We start from the raw sequence: 19,104 nt of genomic DNA, 5'->3' as shown, positions 1-19,104 counted from the left end.
AGAGCTTGTGCAGGGAAACTCCTCTTTATAAAACCATCAGATCTCGTGAGACTTACTCATTACTGTGAGAACAGTATAACTGCCCCCATATTCCATTATCTCCACTTTCACATTCAATTATTTCCCTACCGTTGACAATTATCTCAAAATCTCATCTTGATTATTACAATTCAAGGTGAGATTTGGGTGGGGACACAGCCAAACTGTATCACTGGGATTACAGGCACTCACCACCATGCCTGGCTAATTTTTGTATTTTTGGTAGAAATCGAGTTTCGCCATGTTGCCCAGGCTGGTCTCAAACTCATGAGTTCAAGTGATCCTCCCACCTTGGCCTCCCAAAGTGCTGGAATTACTGGTATGAGCCACCACACCTGGCAATATTTTTGGCCTTTACTCATGCTGCTTTCCTCAAAGTGGAATGCTTTCCTTCACTTATTTACCTGTAGATATATCACTCCTACTTCGAAGAAAAGTTCTCTTGTTGACTCCTCCAGGAGACATTCTCGATCCTCCAGTCAAATGCATCCCTCTCTCCTGTGAGCCATCACTTTTGCCTTTGTTTGGTGTGTATTTAAGTCTGCCTGGTGTTAGAATTGGTGGTTTACTTATCTTTCTCTTCACGCAGACCAGAGAAGCTGGTGGCAAGCAGCCTCTTATTCATAGGTACTTATCATATCTTCAGTAAATACTTCGCTCAATGAAAGTTCAGTAGGCAGAATATACACTAAGTCCCCCCACCGCCACCAACAACAAAAAGCAAACTAGGCAAAAAGAGAAGATGTTTACAGTTGTGGAACTGAGAACAAATAACCGCAGGGCTGAGGGCCTGAAGGTAGGGGAGCACTGATTGGCATCAGGACTCACTGAGGACCTAAGCCCTGGACTCAGCCAACCCCTCAATCCCTCTTTTGTGAGCTCCCTTGGAGTCCTGAACCAGTGTTTTTTTCTTAATATACCAACCTTTTTCCTTAGGGCAGAGGTTTAACACGTTTCAACACTGTGTTTTTCTCTGTTGTCTAACAGAATGATTGAGCCAAGTCTAATCTTAACAAAATTAGCCTGCCACATGGAGCAAAGTTGACTTGTAAACAACCACTCCTATAAAGTGTAATTTGTGAAACAGGTGATTTCCCTGTCCCTGTGACTCTAATTTTTTTTTTTTTTTTGAAATGGAGTCTCACTCTGTCACCCAGGCTGGAGTGCAGTGGCACGATCTTGGCTCACTGCAACCTCCACCTCCCAGATTCAAGCGATTCTCCTGCCTCAGCCTCCCAAGTAATGGGGATTACAGGTTCTCACCAACATGCCTGGCTAACTTTGGTATTTTTGATAGAGACGGGGTTTCACCATGTTTGCCAGGCTGGTCTCGAACTCCTGACCTCAAGTGATCCGCCCACCTTGGCTTCCCAAAGTGCTAAGATTACAGGTGTGAGCCATCGCGCCTGGCCCTTGTGACTCTAATTTTAAGGGCTCCAGGAAGAACCATCCCAGCGTGCTCACTGATGCCTGAAATATCTTTAATGATGCCAAATCCATTGATTGTTAAAATGCAGCTATCAGTTGGAGGAATAAATTCATAGACTTAACTTCATATGAAAATAGCTTAAAGTGAGAATGCATGCCATTCTGTAGAAAAGAACACAGGATTTGAAGTCGGAAGAGTTGTTTTTACAATATCACAAAATTGTTTTCCTAATAGGCAGTTCACCGTATCATTCTTTAGAATGTCAACACCTTGAAAATACCCATCCCAAACCCCCAACTATAGGGGAATGGATAGTATATCATGAGGTCAAACTTTCATCGTAAAAAGACTGCAACAGAAAGGGGCTGATCAAGGAGCTGCCTGGAGCAGGAGTGAGGGATACCCGGAGCAGCCATCCAAAAGAGAGGTTCTGCCCAGATCAAGAGAGTTGCAGAAGAATGGACCTAGCAAGAAATAAAGAGCCAAAGTCAAGAATTTCCAGGAACAGTGAGTGTGAAACTTCACACTTATGATGGTCAAGTGGGAACTATCCTTTCCCCATTCATGTGCCTCCCTTTCTTTCAGTCCTGAAGAGTCATAGATGATAGCTAGCTAATCTGTAACCAGGAGAGAGAGGAAGACATTGTCTCTCTGAAATAAAGATTGAAGGGGCAGGGCACAGTGACTGACACCTGTAATCCCAGCACATTGGGAAGCCAAGGTGGGAGGACCACTTGAGGCCAGGAGTTCAAGATCAGCCTGGGCAACATGGTGAGACCCTGTCTCTAAAAATTTTTTTTTTTAAGTCATGACAAAATTGACATATTAAATAACATATTGGACTAGACACTCTAATTTTTTAATCTTACTCTAATTTATTATGGGATATCCTTTTAGTCAGGAGTAATTAGAAAAGTCATGGTACAGCCCATGTGTGTATTCAGGGTCAGGGGAAGGACCCAGCAATCAGTAAAGAGTCCATGTTAAGAACTCAGAAAAAATATCATAAAGCTGTTTTTGTAATCACACTTGTTGAATCCTACATGTTCAATTATTGATTGACCATCAGAAACATCAGATTGGCCAGATGTGGTGGCTCACACCTGTAATCTCAGGACTTTGGGAGGCCGAGGCTGGTGGATCACTTGAGGTCAGGAGTTCGAGACCAGCCTGGCCAACATGGTGAAACCTGGGCTCTACTAAAAATACAAAAATTAGCTCGGTGTGGTGGCATGCGCCTGTAGTCCCAGCTACTCGGCAGCCTGAGGCACAAGAACGGCTTGGACCTGGGAGGAGGAGGTTGCGGTGAGCTGAGATCGCACTGCTGCACTCCAGGCTGGGTGACAAGGAAGAGCAACACTCCATCTCAAAAAAACAAACAAACAAAAAGAACAGAAAAGAGAAGCACCAAAAGCCCTGGCACAAAGGAGGTACCAATAAATATCTGAGTAACTTAATGAATGAATCAATTCTCTTTGACTCACTGCAACTCATCAAAAAATTGGTTATTGAAGAGGAAAATAGACCAGGAGGAAAAAAAAAATCCAAGGATGAGCTATGAATGCATGAGAAAACTGGTTTATGATTCAGCGAAGATTGTGCTGATTTTAAGCTCTTTCTGGAAATTTTATATCCATGAGTCCTCTAGTGGGTGAGTAATTGCAGAGAAATGTAGTTCTTAAAGGGGAAATAAAGCCTTTGGAATTCCTGATGTTAAGCATCCTATTTTTATAGGGCCAGGATGAGGATTATGCAAGACAGTGTGGTGGAAGGTGTAAACTTCAAGGAAGCCTCACTCTCAGAGCCAGACCAGCACTTGCATGACCCCGGGAGAGACTGAGCATCAGGGCCCTAACAAGGAGACTGACTCTGGGAGACCTCAGGGCTGTGGCTGGGTGAAGGGTCATTTGCCCAGGCAATCAGAGCAGATGGAACCCCTAAACATTAAAGGCTTAGAGAGACTGTAGAGGGTTCAACCAGAGGAGCCAAATCTGTTGTACTTATGAGTCAGTGAGTATTTGGGGAAATGCAAGGCATAGGCAGAAGGAGGAGGATGGATGCTGAATCAGAAAGAAGAGGCAGAAAGTGTAAAACCAGAGGGCGTGGGAAGCATGGCCTGGGGATGTTTTGGGAACAGGATTGAGACTGGGCACACCTTTCTTATGGGAGATGGCTTCAGTTGTGTGGTTGCTTAGGCCCGAAGCAATGAAACAGAAATAAACCAAGTAAAGAAAATAGGCTCTTTTTTTTTTTTTTTTTTTTTTTTTTTTTTTTTTTTTTTGAGATGGAGTCTTGCTTCATTGCCCAGGCTAGAGTGCAGTGACAAGATCTTGGCTCACTGCAACCTCCACCTCTGGGGTTCAAGTGATTCTCCTGTCTCAGCCTCTTGAGTAGCTGGAATTACAAGCATGTATCATCATGCCTGGCTAATTTTTGTATTTTTATTAGAGACAGGGTTTCACCATGTTGGCCAGGCTGGTCTTGAACTCCCGACCTCAGGTCATCCGCCCGCCTCGGCCTCCCCAAGTGCTGGGATTACAGGCGTGAGCCACTGCACCCAGCTTGCAAATAGGCTCTTAAAGCCTCAATTTCCTCATCTGTGAGATACAAGTAATATCTTTGTCATATGGCTGTTAGGATTAAATAGAGTGATTGTCTCCAGTGTTTCCATTTATAAAGTTCCCATCATCCTAGTCGTATGGAGTGAGAGAATATAGGTTATGCAGATGTGGGAGCCATTTATGTCCTTTTTAGAAGTTTCATGTAATATAGGGCAGGAGGTCTTAGGTCACAGACATAGGAATCAGCTATGTGTGTGTGTGTGTGTGTGTGTGTGTGTGTGTGTGTGTGTGTGTGTGTGTTCATACATTTGTGTCTAATCCTTAGCCAAATTAACCTCACCTTCTAATGCTGCTGGTTAAGGTTGTGAGGTTCCCCTTGCCTTTGGAATGTTCCCTGGTTCCTCTCTCCCTCTCCTCTAAAACTGTGAGCTGCTACAGCATAGGAAGTAGGGCTCCTCCCCCAGCACCCACTACCATGCACAAACAAAGAAAATGCTTCCTAAACACTCAGAGAATAAACAAAGAGGTGAAATCCAGTGTCTACAAGGAGATCCACTCAAAGGTCTAATGGTCAAACATAGGATTTTCCCTGAAATGTACATTTTGGTGTCTTCTGAGGTTATTGTGCCTTTTTCCTTGCTCATCTTTTCCATTTGAAAAATTGTCATCGTGTTTCCCTAAATAGACTTAGGACATCAAAGTTGGGGCGACAAATTAGAAATGTTGCAGGGCCAGGGATGTAGTGGCTCATACCTGTGATCCCAGTGGTTTGGGAGGCCAAGGTGGGAGGATCGCTTGAAGCCAGGAGTTCCAGACTAGCCTGGGCAACAAAGCAAGACCCTGTCTCTACAAATACAATACAGTACAGTACAGTACAATACAATACAATACAATACAATACAATACAATACAATACAATACAATACAATACAATACAGTACATAAAATAAAATAAAATAAAATAAAATCCAGGCATGGTGATACATACATGTAATCCCAGCTGCTCAGGAGGCTGAGGCAGGAGGATGACCTGAGCCCAGGAGTTCGAGGCTGCAGTGAGCTATGATCGAGCCACTGCACTCCAGTGTGGGTGACAAAGTGAGACCCTGTTTCAAAAAAAGAAAAAAATGAATTGTTGCTGGGTCTTAAGTTAGAAGTTAATGTTTGAGACCTGTTATAGACCTGGGAGAATGAGGTGCAGTGGGGAGAATCAAGCTTTAGAGTCTGAATCCCAGATCTGCCATTTACTGGCTATGAGACACTCAACAAATCACTTAATCCAGCTGTTCCTCAATTGCCTCATCTCTAAAATGGGAATAAGATTTGTCTCATCAAGTGGTTGAGGTTAAATGGGGGCCCAAGGTAAGCTTTCAGGATCACTCTGTTTAAAATAGGAAAGCTCGTCCCCACCCCAGTCTCTTTTTCCATTTTACTTTTCTACACTGCACTTATCCCTTTGTGATATACTATGTTATTTATTTATTTTGTTCATTGTCTGTCTCTCTCTACTCATGTGTTAAGTTCCATGAGGCTAGAAATGGACCTAATTTGAGAAGAGGAAGTATTTTGGGACCAAGCCTGATGGGAATTCTGCTGCCTAGATCCTGAGTCCTGGTATCTCTACCCCGCACGTGAAGGACTGGGTCATGTCAGATTCCAGGGGTCACCCAGTCCTTCTAGAATGTGGTTCTCAAAGAGTAGTTCATAGATACCCCCAATATGGTCTGGTTCTGTGTCCCCACCCAAATGTCACCTTGAATTGTAAGAACCCCCGCACGTTGTGGGAGGGACCCAGTGGAAGGGAATGGAATCATAGGGGCAGGCTTTTCCCATGCTGTTCTCGTGATAGTGAATAAGTCTCAAGAGATCTGGTGGTTTTAGAAAGGTGAGCTCCCCGGCACATGCCCTTATCTGCCACCATGTAAGATGTGCCTTTGCTCCTCCTCCACTTTCCACCATGATTGTGAAGCCTCCCCAGCCATGTGAAACTGTGAGTCCATTAAACCTCTTTCCTTTACAAATTACCCAGTATGGGGTATGTCTTTGTTAGCAGCATGAGAACAGACTAATACACCCCCCTACCACCACCAGGGATCTTTGCAATCATTTCAGTGGCTCCACGAAGTCAAAACTATCTCTCTAACAATATGAAGGTCCTGTTTGCTTTTTCACTGTATTAACATCTGTATGGATGGGACAAATGCAATGGCGGGTAGAACTCTTGGAGCCTTGGCATGAATCATGACAGTGGGAGCTAACTGTACTAAGAGTTATTTTCTTTACAACTATACATGCACAGTGAAAATGAAAGGAAATGGGGCCAGGGGCAGTAGCTCATGTCTGTAATCCCAGCACTTTGGGAGGCCTAGGTGGGCAGATCACTTGAGGTCAGAAGTTCGAGACAAGCCTGGCCAACATGGTGAAACCCCGCCTCTACTAAAAATACAAAAATTAGCTGAGCTTGGTGGCAGGTTCCTGTAATCTCAGCTACACAGGAGGCTGAGGCAGCAGAATTGCTTGGACCCAGGAGGCAGAGGTTGCAGTGAGCCAAGATCAAGCCACTGCACTCCAGCCTGGGTGACAGAGCAAGACCCTGTTTCAAAAAACAAAAACAGAACCCGAAATAAAATAAAATGAAACGAAATCCCAGTTTTACTTAAGAATGTCTTTGATAAAGCCATAAAAATGATTAACTTTAAAGATCTTCACTCTGTGGCGTATGTATTTTTAATATGTCACATATTTTTAATATGTGACACAATAGGAAGCACACATAAGGCACGTCCACTGCACACCTCAGTGTAACAATTGACTTGAGGGAAAGCTTGTATAATTGAGTTGTGAGCTGAACAGGCTGCTTTTTTTGGAACATCACTTTTCAGTCAAAAAAAAAAAAAGACTGATAGATGAACTATAGTTATTCAGACTTGGGTATCTGGCAGACACATTCTCAAAAATGAAAGACGTGAACTTGTCACTCCAAGGAAAACTGACAGTATTTGTTGCCAGTGCTAACATTTGACCTTTCAAGAGAAACGTTGATTTTTGGAAAACTTGTATCTGCCATCTTGAGCTTAAGCTAAATACCATGTCTAAATACTTCCAATATTTGAAGACTTTTCTGCAGTGATCGGGGGCAATATTAGCAGTTGTGACTTTTTGTCAGGCATGATGTCTCATCCCTGCAATCCCGGCTCATTGGGAGGCCAAGGTGGGTGGATTGCTTGAGCTCTGCAATCAGAGACCAGCCTGGGTAACATGGTGAAACCCCATCTCCACAAAAAATACAAAAATTAGGCAGATGTGGTGGCACTCACCTGTAGTCCCAGCTACTTTGGAAGCTGAGGTGGGAGGACTGTTTGAGCCCAAGAGGTCGAGGCTGCAGTGAGCTGTGATCACACCACTGCATTCCAGCCTGGACAACAGAGCAAGACCCCCATCTCAAAAAACAAAACAAAACAAAAAACCCATTTTGACTTTCAGGTAATAGAAAATAAAATGTGCTACCGTCAGGAATGCTATCATTGATATTTTCAGATGACCAATACATAAGGTTACAGAATCATGCATGGGTAAAAGATCCACTCAAAGCACAAGAGAGACCTTTAAAAATACATTTTTAAAGATCTTTAAAAGCAATTTTAATGTAACAAAGCATGGAATCTTCATTCATATGATTTCAGATTCTGCATCCGATATTTCTTCAAAAACAAGTACCTCTAATTATCTGAAAAGGTTATTTAAATACTCTTTCCTGGCCGGGTGCTGTTGCTCACGCCTGTAGTTCCAGCACTTTGGGAGGCCGAGGTGGGTAGATCACTTGAGGTCAGGAGTTCGAAACCAGCCTGGCCAACATGGTGAAACCCCGTCTCTACTAAAAATATTTAAGAAATTAGCTAGGCATGGTGGCGTGGGCCTGTAGTCCCAGCTATTCGGGAGGCTGAGGCAGGAGAATTGCTTGAATCGAGGAGGCAGAGGTTGCAGTGAGTGGAGATCATGCCACTGTACTCCAGCCTGGGTGATAGCGAGACTCCATCTCAAAGTAAATAAATAAATAAATAAATAAACAAATAAATAAATACTGCTTCCTTTTCTTAACTACATATTTGTGGGAAGCCACATTTTCTTCATGTGTTTCAACCTAAACGACATCACAGCAGATGGAAAGCAGTAACAGCTAAGAAAATCCAGCTGCCTTCCCTTAAACTAAACATTAAAAAGACTTGCAAAAGTGTGCAGTGCCACTCTTCTCTTTTCTTTAGAAAACAGTTATTTTTATAAAATATTTATGTTATCATGAAATGGATTTCTTATTTTCACTGGATAAATAAATATTTTTAGAATTCTGTTGTAATTTCTAATATGGCAAACATTGATAAATATAAACCACATGAACAAAAGCTTTTTGGGTCCTCAGTCATTTTTAAGAGTGTAAATGGGTCCTGATACCGAAACGTTTGCAAGTTGCTGTTCCAGAGTATTTTGGAATTCTAGAGCATATGGAACATGCTGAGTAACAAAGAACATGATCTTTGGGACAAATTGCTATTTTTCCATTCTGGATTTGCCATTTGCTAGCTGTTGACTTTTGGCTAGTTATTGAACCTCTCTGAGCCTCAGTTTTATCGTGCATTGAAGTGAGGATAATGGAGGATTTCTCTCCATTTTTTTTGAGATAACGGTTTTTAAGAAACTTGAAATGTGGTAGACAACTTGCAGAGGTTGACTTCCTTTCTTCTTTTTCTTCATTAGGCCTAAATACACAGTATCAAGGCCACTCAGTGAGACCTTTCGCACACCCAAGCAGATCTGGGTCTTTAAGAGTAGTTGCCTCCTCTCAGAGTGGACCAAAGACAACCAAATTAAAATACAAAAACAGGCCAGATGTGAGGTGGCTCACTCATGTAATTCCAGTACTTTGGGAGGCCAACACAGGTGAACTGAATAAGGTAAGGAGTTCAAGACCAACCTGGGCAACACAGTGAAACCTTGTTTCTACAAAAAAATTAAAAAATTGCCAGTCGTGAAGCGCACCTGTAGTCCTCCTGGCCAAGGTAGGAGGATCACTTGAGCCCAGGGGTTTGAGGCTGCAGTGAGCTATGATTGCAGCACCTCATCTCATCCTAGACGACAGAGTGAGACCCTGTCTCTAAAAAACAAAACAAAACAAAAACAAAAACATTCACAGAGGAGCCCACACCGTGGAAGTTCCTGCTCAGCAAGCACCCACTGATGGTTTACTGAGATCACCTTCGCAACTTGTTCCCCACCTGGTCCTTCCAGCCTCAGCCTGTTTTTTGATCGGGATGATCTACTGTCTTTGAGATTCTGTCCCTACTTGACCTGGTCCTCCACCTACCTGAGTTCGTCTTCTGCACATGACCTTTGATCTGATTGCTCCAAGCTGCAACAGCTTTGTCCACGGGTCCCACATTATGCTAGACTCGCCAGTGATGTAGAATGGAACACTTCATCCCTGCTAGAATCAAGGCCGAATCCACTCCATAGAGGACTCTCTCCTGAAAGTCTCCCAGGGTGAGAGCTCAACCTTCTCTCTGGCCTTTGTTTCAACATTGTTCTTTAGTGCTGAGGAAGTAAGACATGTGTCATATATTTGCTGCTACACATTTACAGGGGCAGAAGCAAAGTCTTCCTGGAAAAGCTGATGAATAAGAGGAGTCGAGTTCTTCCGCCTCCATTCACGAAACTCTCCAAGATCCCACCAGGACGGCATCGTGTGCATAATTGTGAGGATATCTTGCAGAAAGCTGGATGGAGTTTTGAGTACATTCTGGATCCTCTTTGACCCCTGGGGACCAGGACCATTTCTATTTTCATAGTCCAAATGAATGCTTAGATGCATTCACTTTTAAAACCTGAGTCAGGATTCCCTGGAAATTCTTTTCCATAGCTGCAATGCTAATCTGGATTCCAGACATTTTTACATCTGATCAAAGGAAGCAAATAGCTGCCCTGGGAATATTTTAGCATGTCTGCCTATTCACTGTGGAAGTCAATGAGCATTTGTTTGGCAGAATGCAGAGGGCACAAACATAGGGATCGAAGGACTGATGAAGAAGAATGAATTATTGAAAGGGGAAGGAGGGAAAGGGCCAAAGGGATGTCCGCTAATCAAGAGTGAGAAATAAAGCCAAGAATTACGTCTGATTTTTAAAATTTTACTCTGTTGGTGAATTTTTGCCTATCTCCTATCTTCTGGCAGCTCTTGCTAATGAAAGTACACATGACCTTGGTAGTTTGTCTTTTGGCATCCTGCCAAAGTTGGACAATGGCCAGTGCAAAGCTGTCAGAGAGGGTGTTTCTGTGAGATGAGAAGCAAACTTTCTAGCCGCAAACACTTACTGCCATCCTGCCTGCCATCCACCTCTATGATCATTTGACTTTGTATGCCTTGGTCATCTCATGTTTGAAACTGGAATCACATTTAGCCTGTCCTCTGCTGTCAACGCTGATAAGTATGCTCATCCAAAATCAGCCATTGGCCAGGCATGGTGGCTCACGCCTGTAATCCCAGCACTTTGGGAGGCCAAGGTGGGCGGATCACTTCAGGTCAGGAGTTCCAGACCAGCCTGGCTAACACGGCAAAACTCTTTCTCCACTAAAAATACAAAATTAGCTGGGCGTGATGGTGCACGCCTGTAATCCCAGCTACTAGGGAGGCTGAGGTAGGAGAATTGCGTGAACCCAGAGGGCGGAGGTTGCAGTGAGCCAAGATCACGCCACTGCACTCTAGCCTGGGCGACAGAGTGAGACTCCTCTGAAAAAAAAAAAAAAGTCAGCTGTTGCCATTTTCCTATTGAGAGCATCCAGCAAGATGGTTTAGAAAATTTTGTTCTACAGTCTCAGCACAAGAAACCTGGCAGACCCAGACACCATGCCAAGACCCCTCCCTGCCTGCTGAGCTTCCATTTTAGCCTCTTGCACTGGCTGGTAGCCGCCAAATCATAAAGAATTGCCCCTCTGCTGACTGCCTCCCAAGAGTACCCCCCTAAATGGAGGCCATCTTAATCCAAGTCCTTGCTGTGTTGGAAATCTGAGCGGCATCATAGATTCTTAGAGTACCGTTGTCTCACAGCACCTAGCATGGTGCCTACAACATTGCAAGCCAACTTGTTCACTCTCTCTGTCTCTCTCCACACACACACACTCCTTCAACTCTGTCTCCCTTAAGACTTTTGCAAGACCTTACTGTCTCCCTCCCTATTTTGTTTCATGTTTCCATGTCATGTCCTGACTGCGCAATAAAAATGTAGGTTTATATCCAATCGCATTTTTCTCTCTGTGTGTTGTTTTCTTTCCAGAGCCAACTATCTCTTGAGCACTGGTTTGGGGTTTGTGTGCAGTCTTATCCACAGAAAACAAATTCTCCTGCTTTCAGACAAACCTAATTCTCAGAAAACTGGAGCTCCACAGAAAAGAGTTTTTAAATTTTTCATGAACTTCTAGAGTTTTGCCGATTGTTTCTTAAACTTTACTGAAGAAAACACTTAATTTCTCATTTAAGAAAGACACCACCCCTCCATTACAGGTGGCTCACACCTGTAATCCCAATGCACTGGGAGCCTGAGGTGAGACGATCGCTGGAGCCCAGGAGTTTGAGGGTACAGTGAACTGTGATTGCACCACTGCATTCCAGCCTGGTCAGCAGAGTGAGACCTTGTCTTTATTTATTTATTTATTTATTTATTTTTTGAGCCGGAGTCTTGCTATCATCCAGGGAGGAGTGCAGTGGCATGATCTCTACTCACTGCAACCTCTGCCTACCAGGTTCAAGTGATTCTCCTGCCTCAGCCTCCAGAGTAGCTGGGACTACAGGCATGCACCACTACACCTGGCTAATTGTTGTATTTTAGTGGAGACGGGGTTTCACCATGTTGGCCAGTCTGGTCTCGAACTCCTGACCTCAAGTGATCCACCCACCCTCCTCAGCCTCCCAAAGTGGTGGGATTATAGGTGTGAGCCACTGCGCCCGGCCAGACCTTGTCTTTAAAGAAAGAAAAAAAAAGAGAGACCTCCTCATTTTAATACCTGTTCACTGATTAAATGCCTCAACGCTTCTATGGTAAAGACCTACTTTGAATTTTCTGAAATTTAGCTCTTTGATCGGGGTTTACTTAAATTGGGCTGAAAATCTTGGACCAGGAGGAACCTTTTGGGAAGAAGTAAAAGAAGCCTTTGAACATCCAACACTAACAATAGAGACAACAAAGAATCAATCTTTTGTATACCGTATGCACCCAGCATTTTCCTACGCTTTTGGTTTAAGAAATTGGCTTGTCTTCATCGTTCAGTATGTAAGGCTAGTGGTCAGGTGCCCTAGAGAATCTGTGGATAAGCCACAGGAATACTCAAAACTCATTCTTGCTGCTGCTCCCTTGTTGGTTCCAGATGCTACTAACATGTCAGCTTGTCCTTAAAAACAAGAAAGCAGAGCCGGGTGTGGTGGCTCACACCTGTAATCCCAGCACTTTGGGAGGCCGAGGTGGGCAGATCAGCTGAGGTCAGAAGTTTGAGACCAGCCTGGGCAACATGGTGAAACCCTGTCTCCATTAAAAATAGAAAAATAAGCTGGGCATGGTGGGGCATGCCTGTAATCCCAGCTACTTGGGAGACTGAGGCAGGAAAATCTCTTGAACCCATGAGGCAGAGGTCACCGTGAGCCAAGATCATGCCACTGCAGTTCAGCTTGGGTGACAAACAGAGACGCTGTCTCAAAAAAAAAAAAAAGAGAGAGAGAAAGGGGGTAAGCGCCTTATCCCTCCCTACTAGTTGAGAAGGATCAAAATAGAAAAAGAAAACCAGGGTGATGGTTTCAAATAATTTGAATTAAAATTCTTGTTCTGATAGTTACTAAGCTGTGTGACTTTGAGAAACTTGTTTAACTTCTCTGTGCCTCAGTTTCTTCACATGTACAGTGTGATTAAGGATATCTTCCTCATCAAAGTAGTATGTAATAAGCACTCAGTAAATCATACTTGTTATTTTCAATACTATTACCAATATTAATAACTACTAATAGAAACTGTATCATTGTATGACAGTAACAATCCCAAACTTGCCCCAGGTTAGGAATAAATCCACACCAAAATCAAGATCCTCTGCTAATGCTGTAGCTTTACTCTCTCTATATAGTACAAAGTCTAGAAAAAATGTAGCTAGTCTTGCCTTTACCATTGCAGGCTCTGGTGAGCTCACACTCATATCCCAGCTGTGGTTGTTTTCAAGCATGCCAGATGGTAGGGCTTGTAATTAATGTGCCCATCAACAATCAGAATTAAATTCCTGACAGATACAGTTCAGGGCATGGCCAATGAACTATTTGCATTTTATTCCTGACTAAGGTTTGTGTCCCAAAACTTTACCAGTTTTCCTAAACTGCTGAGTTGAGCCAAACACAAAGAAACCTCAAGGTCCTTTTTTTCTCTTCTCCTCTATGGTCCAGAATAGAGCCAGCCCACACTTTAGTTCTCGTTTCCTGGACTTCACTACTCATCCTCTTCGTCATCCAGAACAAAGGGACGTCTATTCCTTCCACAGGGAAGAGCAAAAAAAAAAAAAAAAAAAAAAAGAAAGAAAGAAAGAAAGAAAAAGAAACAAGACTTTTATCATCTCTCTGGTCTTTTAGTCCTCTGGGGTTAGAGGTGGGGGTGGGGACCAGCCATGGAAGCCCCTGAGAGGTCAGGCCTTCCCTAGGGAGGTGTAGGGTTTCAGGAGAAGTAGAGGCACAGCCAATAAAGATCTTTGAGATCAGCTGCCCACCAGGGGCCTTGAATAGCGTAGCGGCAGCTTTTGCTTCCTTGTCGCCTGCCCTGGCCTCGCCTAGAATGGACAGACTCCCAGTTCACCTGCTCCATTAGTTCACAATTGACATATGCACAGAAAAATAATATTATCTCTCTACATCTGCTTTCCTAATTCCTCTACATCAGAACATAAGGTAATCCTGGGAAAGAAAGCACATAACCAGCTACCATTTGCTCTTGCAATGAACTTTAGAATTCTACTGTGAGGCCAACATCGGAGGCTCTGCCTATCAGTTCATTTGCTCCCTGAAACTGAGGGAGGAAATTGATCATGGAAAATGGAAAACATTTTTCTTTCAAAATGAAAATAGGCCTCCTGGGGCCCTGACTGTCGTCTCTAAATACTGCACACCACTAAAATGAACCAGACTCCTTAAGAAATGGCTGACTCCAAGTCTGGGATATAGGGTGAGCCTGGAATATCTTTTCATACCAGAAAGCAAGTAAACCGTCAAAAGCTAAGAGGGCCAAAAAGAAACAGAAGCCAACTTGAAGAGAATCTCAATGGTTAAAGCTGGAATAATTTAAGAATCGAAAGAATAAGAGAATAGGGCCGGGTACGGTGGCTGACACCTGTAATCCCAGCACTTTGGGAGGCCAAAGCAGGTGCATCACCTGAGGTCAGGAGTTCGAGACCAGCCTGGCCAACATGGCGAAACGCCGTCTCTACTAAAAATAAAAAAAATTAGCTGGGTGTGGTGGCGCATGCCGGTAATCCCAGCTACTGGGGAGGCTGAGGCAGGAGAATCACTTGAACTCAAGAGGTGAAGGTTGCAGTGAGCCAAGATCATGCCATTGTACTTCAGCTTGGGTGACAGAGTGAGGCTCCATCTCTAAATAAATAAATAAATAAATGATAACTGCAATAGACCAAAAGAACAAATATATTTAGATCCTTTAGTTTATAATGATATCAAAGACAAACAAATCTTCCTTCTTTCAGAGATTGCTATGGAACTAACTCATTATTTTGCAAAGTGGCAAGTAAAGAGAAAGAACCTGGCACCTCCTTTGGTACCACACAGCAACCAGCTAGTTAATTAGGCAATTTCCTCCTTATTGATCATTACAGATAACACATGAGGGACTGCTGTAATTAGAATATCATGATTCTGCACTTCTCAGTGAATGAGTGGATCTAAGCAATGATCGCTGATGGCTCCTAACATCACACATAAAGAGACAGTTGAATAGTTTGCACCTTCTGATGGAACGTACACAGTAGTACCTATGAAGTATCTTGCTAAAGACTTAAGCCTGACCAGGCGCAGTGGCTAACACCTGTAATCCCAGCAATTTGGGATGCTTAGGCGGGTGGATCACCTGAGGTCAGGAGTTCGAGACCAGCCTGGCCAACATGGCGAAACCCCATCTCTACTAAAAACACAAAAATTAGCCGGGCATGGTGATGTGTGCCTGTAATCCCAGATACTCAGGAGGCTGAGGCAGGAGAATTGCTTGAATCCAGGAGGCGGAGGTTGCAGTGAGCCGAGATCGAGCCACTGTACTCCAGCCTGGGTGACAGAGCGAGACTCTATCTCAAACAAAAAAAAAAAACAAAAAAAAAAACAAAAAAAACTTAAGCCTCACAGGGCATGGAGGCAGACAGGGCCACCAGATCTGAGCGCCAATTCAAAGGAAGTGAGGAAAAGGGAACATGCTAAGTGACCCAGGGACTCGGTCACCAAATCCTGACCAAGGGAGAGGTTCTTTATCCAGTAAATTGCAAGGAGAAAAAAAAAAAGGAAGAGGAGGAGCAGGAGGAAGAGGACAAAGAGAAAGAAGGGGAACCTGTAAATTGAAAGGGACTTAGACATTGTGTCAATCAATTATAGTAGATGGTCCATATTAGAATCCTGATTTCAATAAGTTGTTTAAAAAAAGAAGCAGATATTATGAAGCAGTCAGGCAAAATTTTTATTATCCTGAGTAATGGATCATATTAAGGAATTATTGTTAATTTGGGAATAGGTCATAGTATTGGTGTTTCGGTTACTTGTTTTTAAAGAATTCTTATCTATTAGCAATGCATACTGAATAAGACTAAAATGATAAGATATTGAGATTTTCTTCAGAGTAAACTTGGGAGTGGGGAAGATATGGTTGATGTGAGTAAAAATGTTAACAGTTACCCTAATTTTGCATGTTTTAAATTTTCCATACAAAAAAGTTAAGGAGTAAGTAAGCAAAAATAGCTGTAAAGACTTACTTTCCTACTATAGGAATGCTAAACGTTCATTGTAAAACTTCTTCAAATATTTTTGTGTAAAAATTGTAAAAGTGTCCTGAAATCTTAGGGAGATGGACAGTGCAACCTCATATTTTCCTGTTGAAAAAGCACAGAGGCAGTTCCGGTGACAAGTACCTTCTTTTCTAAGCTTGGCTTCCAGATCTCATACAAGTGGGAGAGTGAAAGATGCTTGTAACATGCAATGAAGATGATTCAGTGACCAGTTATTCCAGAATAGGCTTAAAAAGTATACAGTTAACCTTGTTCAAATGCGAGTTTAATCCAGTTGTAGTTTTCTACAATAGGATGTGTTTATTTAGTCAGGAGGGAAGGGTTGACATTTTACTCACTTTGGAGAAAAAAGAGAACACTATTATATTTGCCTATCAACTTGAATAAAATCCAGGACAATGTAGTTACACTATAGTTATAAGTACAGGAACGAGCAGTTGGCATATTAAAAGTCCAACCTCCAAAGTCTCCTGGAATGTTTCGAAAAGTTCAGCACAAGTAAAGTTTCAACCTCGGTAGTCTGTCTGGTTAAGCTCTTAGAATCAGAAAATATTTAACGAGTTACTGAAGAGCCTCAAATTTCTTCCCAACCTGTAATACAAACAAAAGTGAGAACTAGGTCAAAGAAAACAGAGATTTGGAATATTATCAGCTTACGCCACTCTGGGGAAATTAACCTATTTAACTTCATGTTCTTTAAAGGAGTAGAAACAGAGACTTATTTTGATCAGGGGATAGAATGACATTTGAGGGAGAGCTGAGACACTGAGAAGAACATAGAGGAAGTGGAAGCATATTGACTTCTTGTGATATGACCCCCACTCCATTTTAAAATTCAATTGCTTTGCCTGTAAAACGAGCTCCGCTATTCTGTACAGTTTATGCTAATGCAAAATGGAAAACAGATTTTCTTTCTCTTCATTTTTCCTAGTATCCTCTTCATGTCCAGTGGCTTATTACTTTTTTAAAAATCATTAGGAAACACAATCTACTTTACTGAGGATTTTCCAAACATTCTTTCTGCCTACTTTGGGGATGTATATATATATCTATATCTATCTATCTATCTATGTATCTATCTGTCTATCTATCTATCTATCTATCTATCTATCTATCTATCTATCTATCTATCTACCTATCTATCTATTTCATTTTGAACTGGCTAGACACAAGGCTCTATTTCCTTACTTTAGTAAGGGTTATCAGAAAAGTCATCTCAACTTGAAAATAGACGAAAGAAAATAGTGAGTAGATGTTCGGTTTTTCATTTTTTTGTTGTTATTGTTGCTGTAGAATGCACTTCAGGCTTGACTTTCTATTTATTGCCCTATTTTACACCTTTGTAGAGAAAGATCAACTTGTAATTTTGTGTTCAGTAGAGATGCAAATAATTTCTCTCTGGTAAAACAGATAATCCCAAGGGTTACAGTTTAAACATAATTGGACATTAAGCAGCTTTATATCTAACCCAGGAATTTATTAAATTGCTCATGTATATGTAGTCTTCCAGATGCCCTTTGGACCAATTTCAATATCTTACCAGTTTCCTCATTAGTAAATGAGCTGAATGCAATCGTTGGCACGTGTTCCTTTTATAGTCATACATGTGCTATGTTTTTTAACCCTTTAAAAATTATACTTCGATTGGATTTTTGTGTTCCCCAAACAAGAGTTTGGCAAGTGTTTTGCCTTTTTCCTCCCCCTACTCCAATTTTAATAATGATATTTCACCGATGATTTAAAGATATTTAAAGATGTTCTAAAAATATGCCACAAGTTGACTTTTTGTTTCTTACATGTATGTCCCATTCGGTCTAGCATTTATGGGAGAGTAATAATTTCTCAGTGGTCTACTAGTAATTTTACTTTTCACACCTAGTTATGCTATACTATAAATACACATATAGGAGGGTAACAATATTTGCCATTGTTTTCACTGCAATATGGTATAGTGATTGAGAGCATGAGTTCAGAGTCACATCCAGCGATACCATGTACTAGCCATAGAGCCTTGGACTAAAAGTGCTTAATCTCTCAGGGCCGCATGGACCTCATTGATAAAATGGCACCGCTAGTAGGATGGTTACAAATACGGTTATTGCAAGTAATAGGGAGATCATCATGTAAAATGCCTAGAACCATGCTTACCATATAAAAAGCACTCAATCATGTTGGCTGTTATTATTATCACACCCACTGAATGGCATAGTCTCGAAACTAGTGTCTAGTTACTAGAAATTATTTTACTTACAATGGGTCGCGTGGGAGAACTCAGTCACCACCCAGAAAGATGCCTATTGTTACTATCGCCTGGAGAAAGAGCCTCTGTTGGCCAGAAACAGGCCTCCTGTCTGCTTCATGAGTTGGCTTTGAATCATTGCCAGGACTTTTAGGAAAACGGAAAATGGATTTGTAGCATGTATGAAATGAAGTCCTTATCTGAGTTCCCAAGGCTGGTTTGTCAAATGGAAATGAGCTGTTTCATGGCTTTATTCCCCTTGGTTTAGCCTCCGAGAATCTGCTCTGGCGCATTGCTGTTTCCACATGTTAAAACTTGGTGAGGAGTCTCTGCTGGTGTCTGTTTTCTTTGTAACTTGGGATGACATAACTTGTTTTTGTCGGCACCTTGAAGCACTGCATTGTCATTCCATCTTAGCAGTGAAGAACAGTGAGTTTGGCAAAATATTTTGAAAACTAAACTTTGAAAATCATTTTTTTGTCAGGTAAACAGTTGGGTTCTTTTTTTTTGTCTTTTATTATTATTTTTTTTCCTATTTGGTAACCAGATAAACTCGAAGACGACAACACAGAATAAGAAAACCTCTACCTTTTATAAGGATTTGGGGATTCAGGCGTGAGAGTAGAAGGAAGACTTACCAGTCGGGTGCAGTGGCTCACGCCTGTAATCCCAGCACTTTGGGAGGCCAAGGCAGGCAGATCACTTGAGGCCAGGAGTTCGAGACCAGCCTGGCCAACATGGTGAAACCCCATGTCTACTAAAAATACAAA

General features: G+C 42.2%; 1 annotated feature.

The window, feature by feature from the left end:
* Positions 18,302-18,596: a silencer, noted in NCBI's record as "tiled region #7090; HepG2 Repressive non-DNase unmatched - State 23:Low". NCBI's record gives its function as "represses a minimal TATA promoter and a strong SV40 promoter by Sharpr-MPRA in HepG2 cells {active_cell/tissue: HepG2}" and the evidence as "EXISTENCE:reporter gene assay evidence [ECO:0000049][PMID:27701403]".

The sequence above is a fragment of the Homo sapiens genome, chromosome 8 (genome assembly GCF_000001405.40).
Source record: "Homo sapiens chromosome 8, GRCh38.p14 Primary Assembly".
Taxonomy (NCBI): Eukaryota; Metazoa; Chordata; class Mammalia; order Primates; family Hominidae; genus Homo; species Homo sapiens.
Note: the sequence above shows the minus strand (reverse complement) of the source record. Positions and strands in the feature narration are given on the sequence as shown.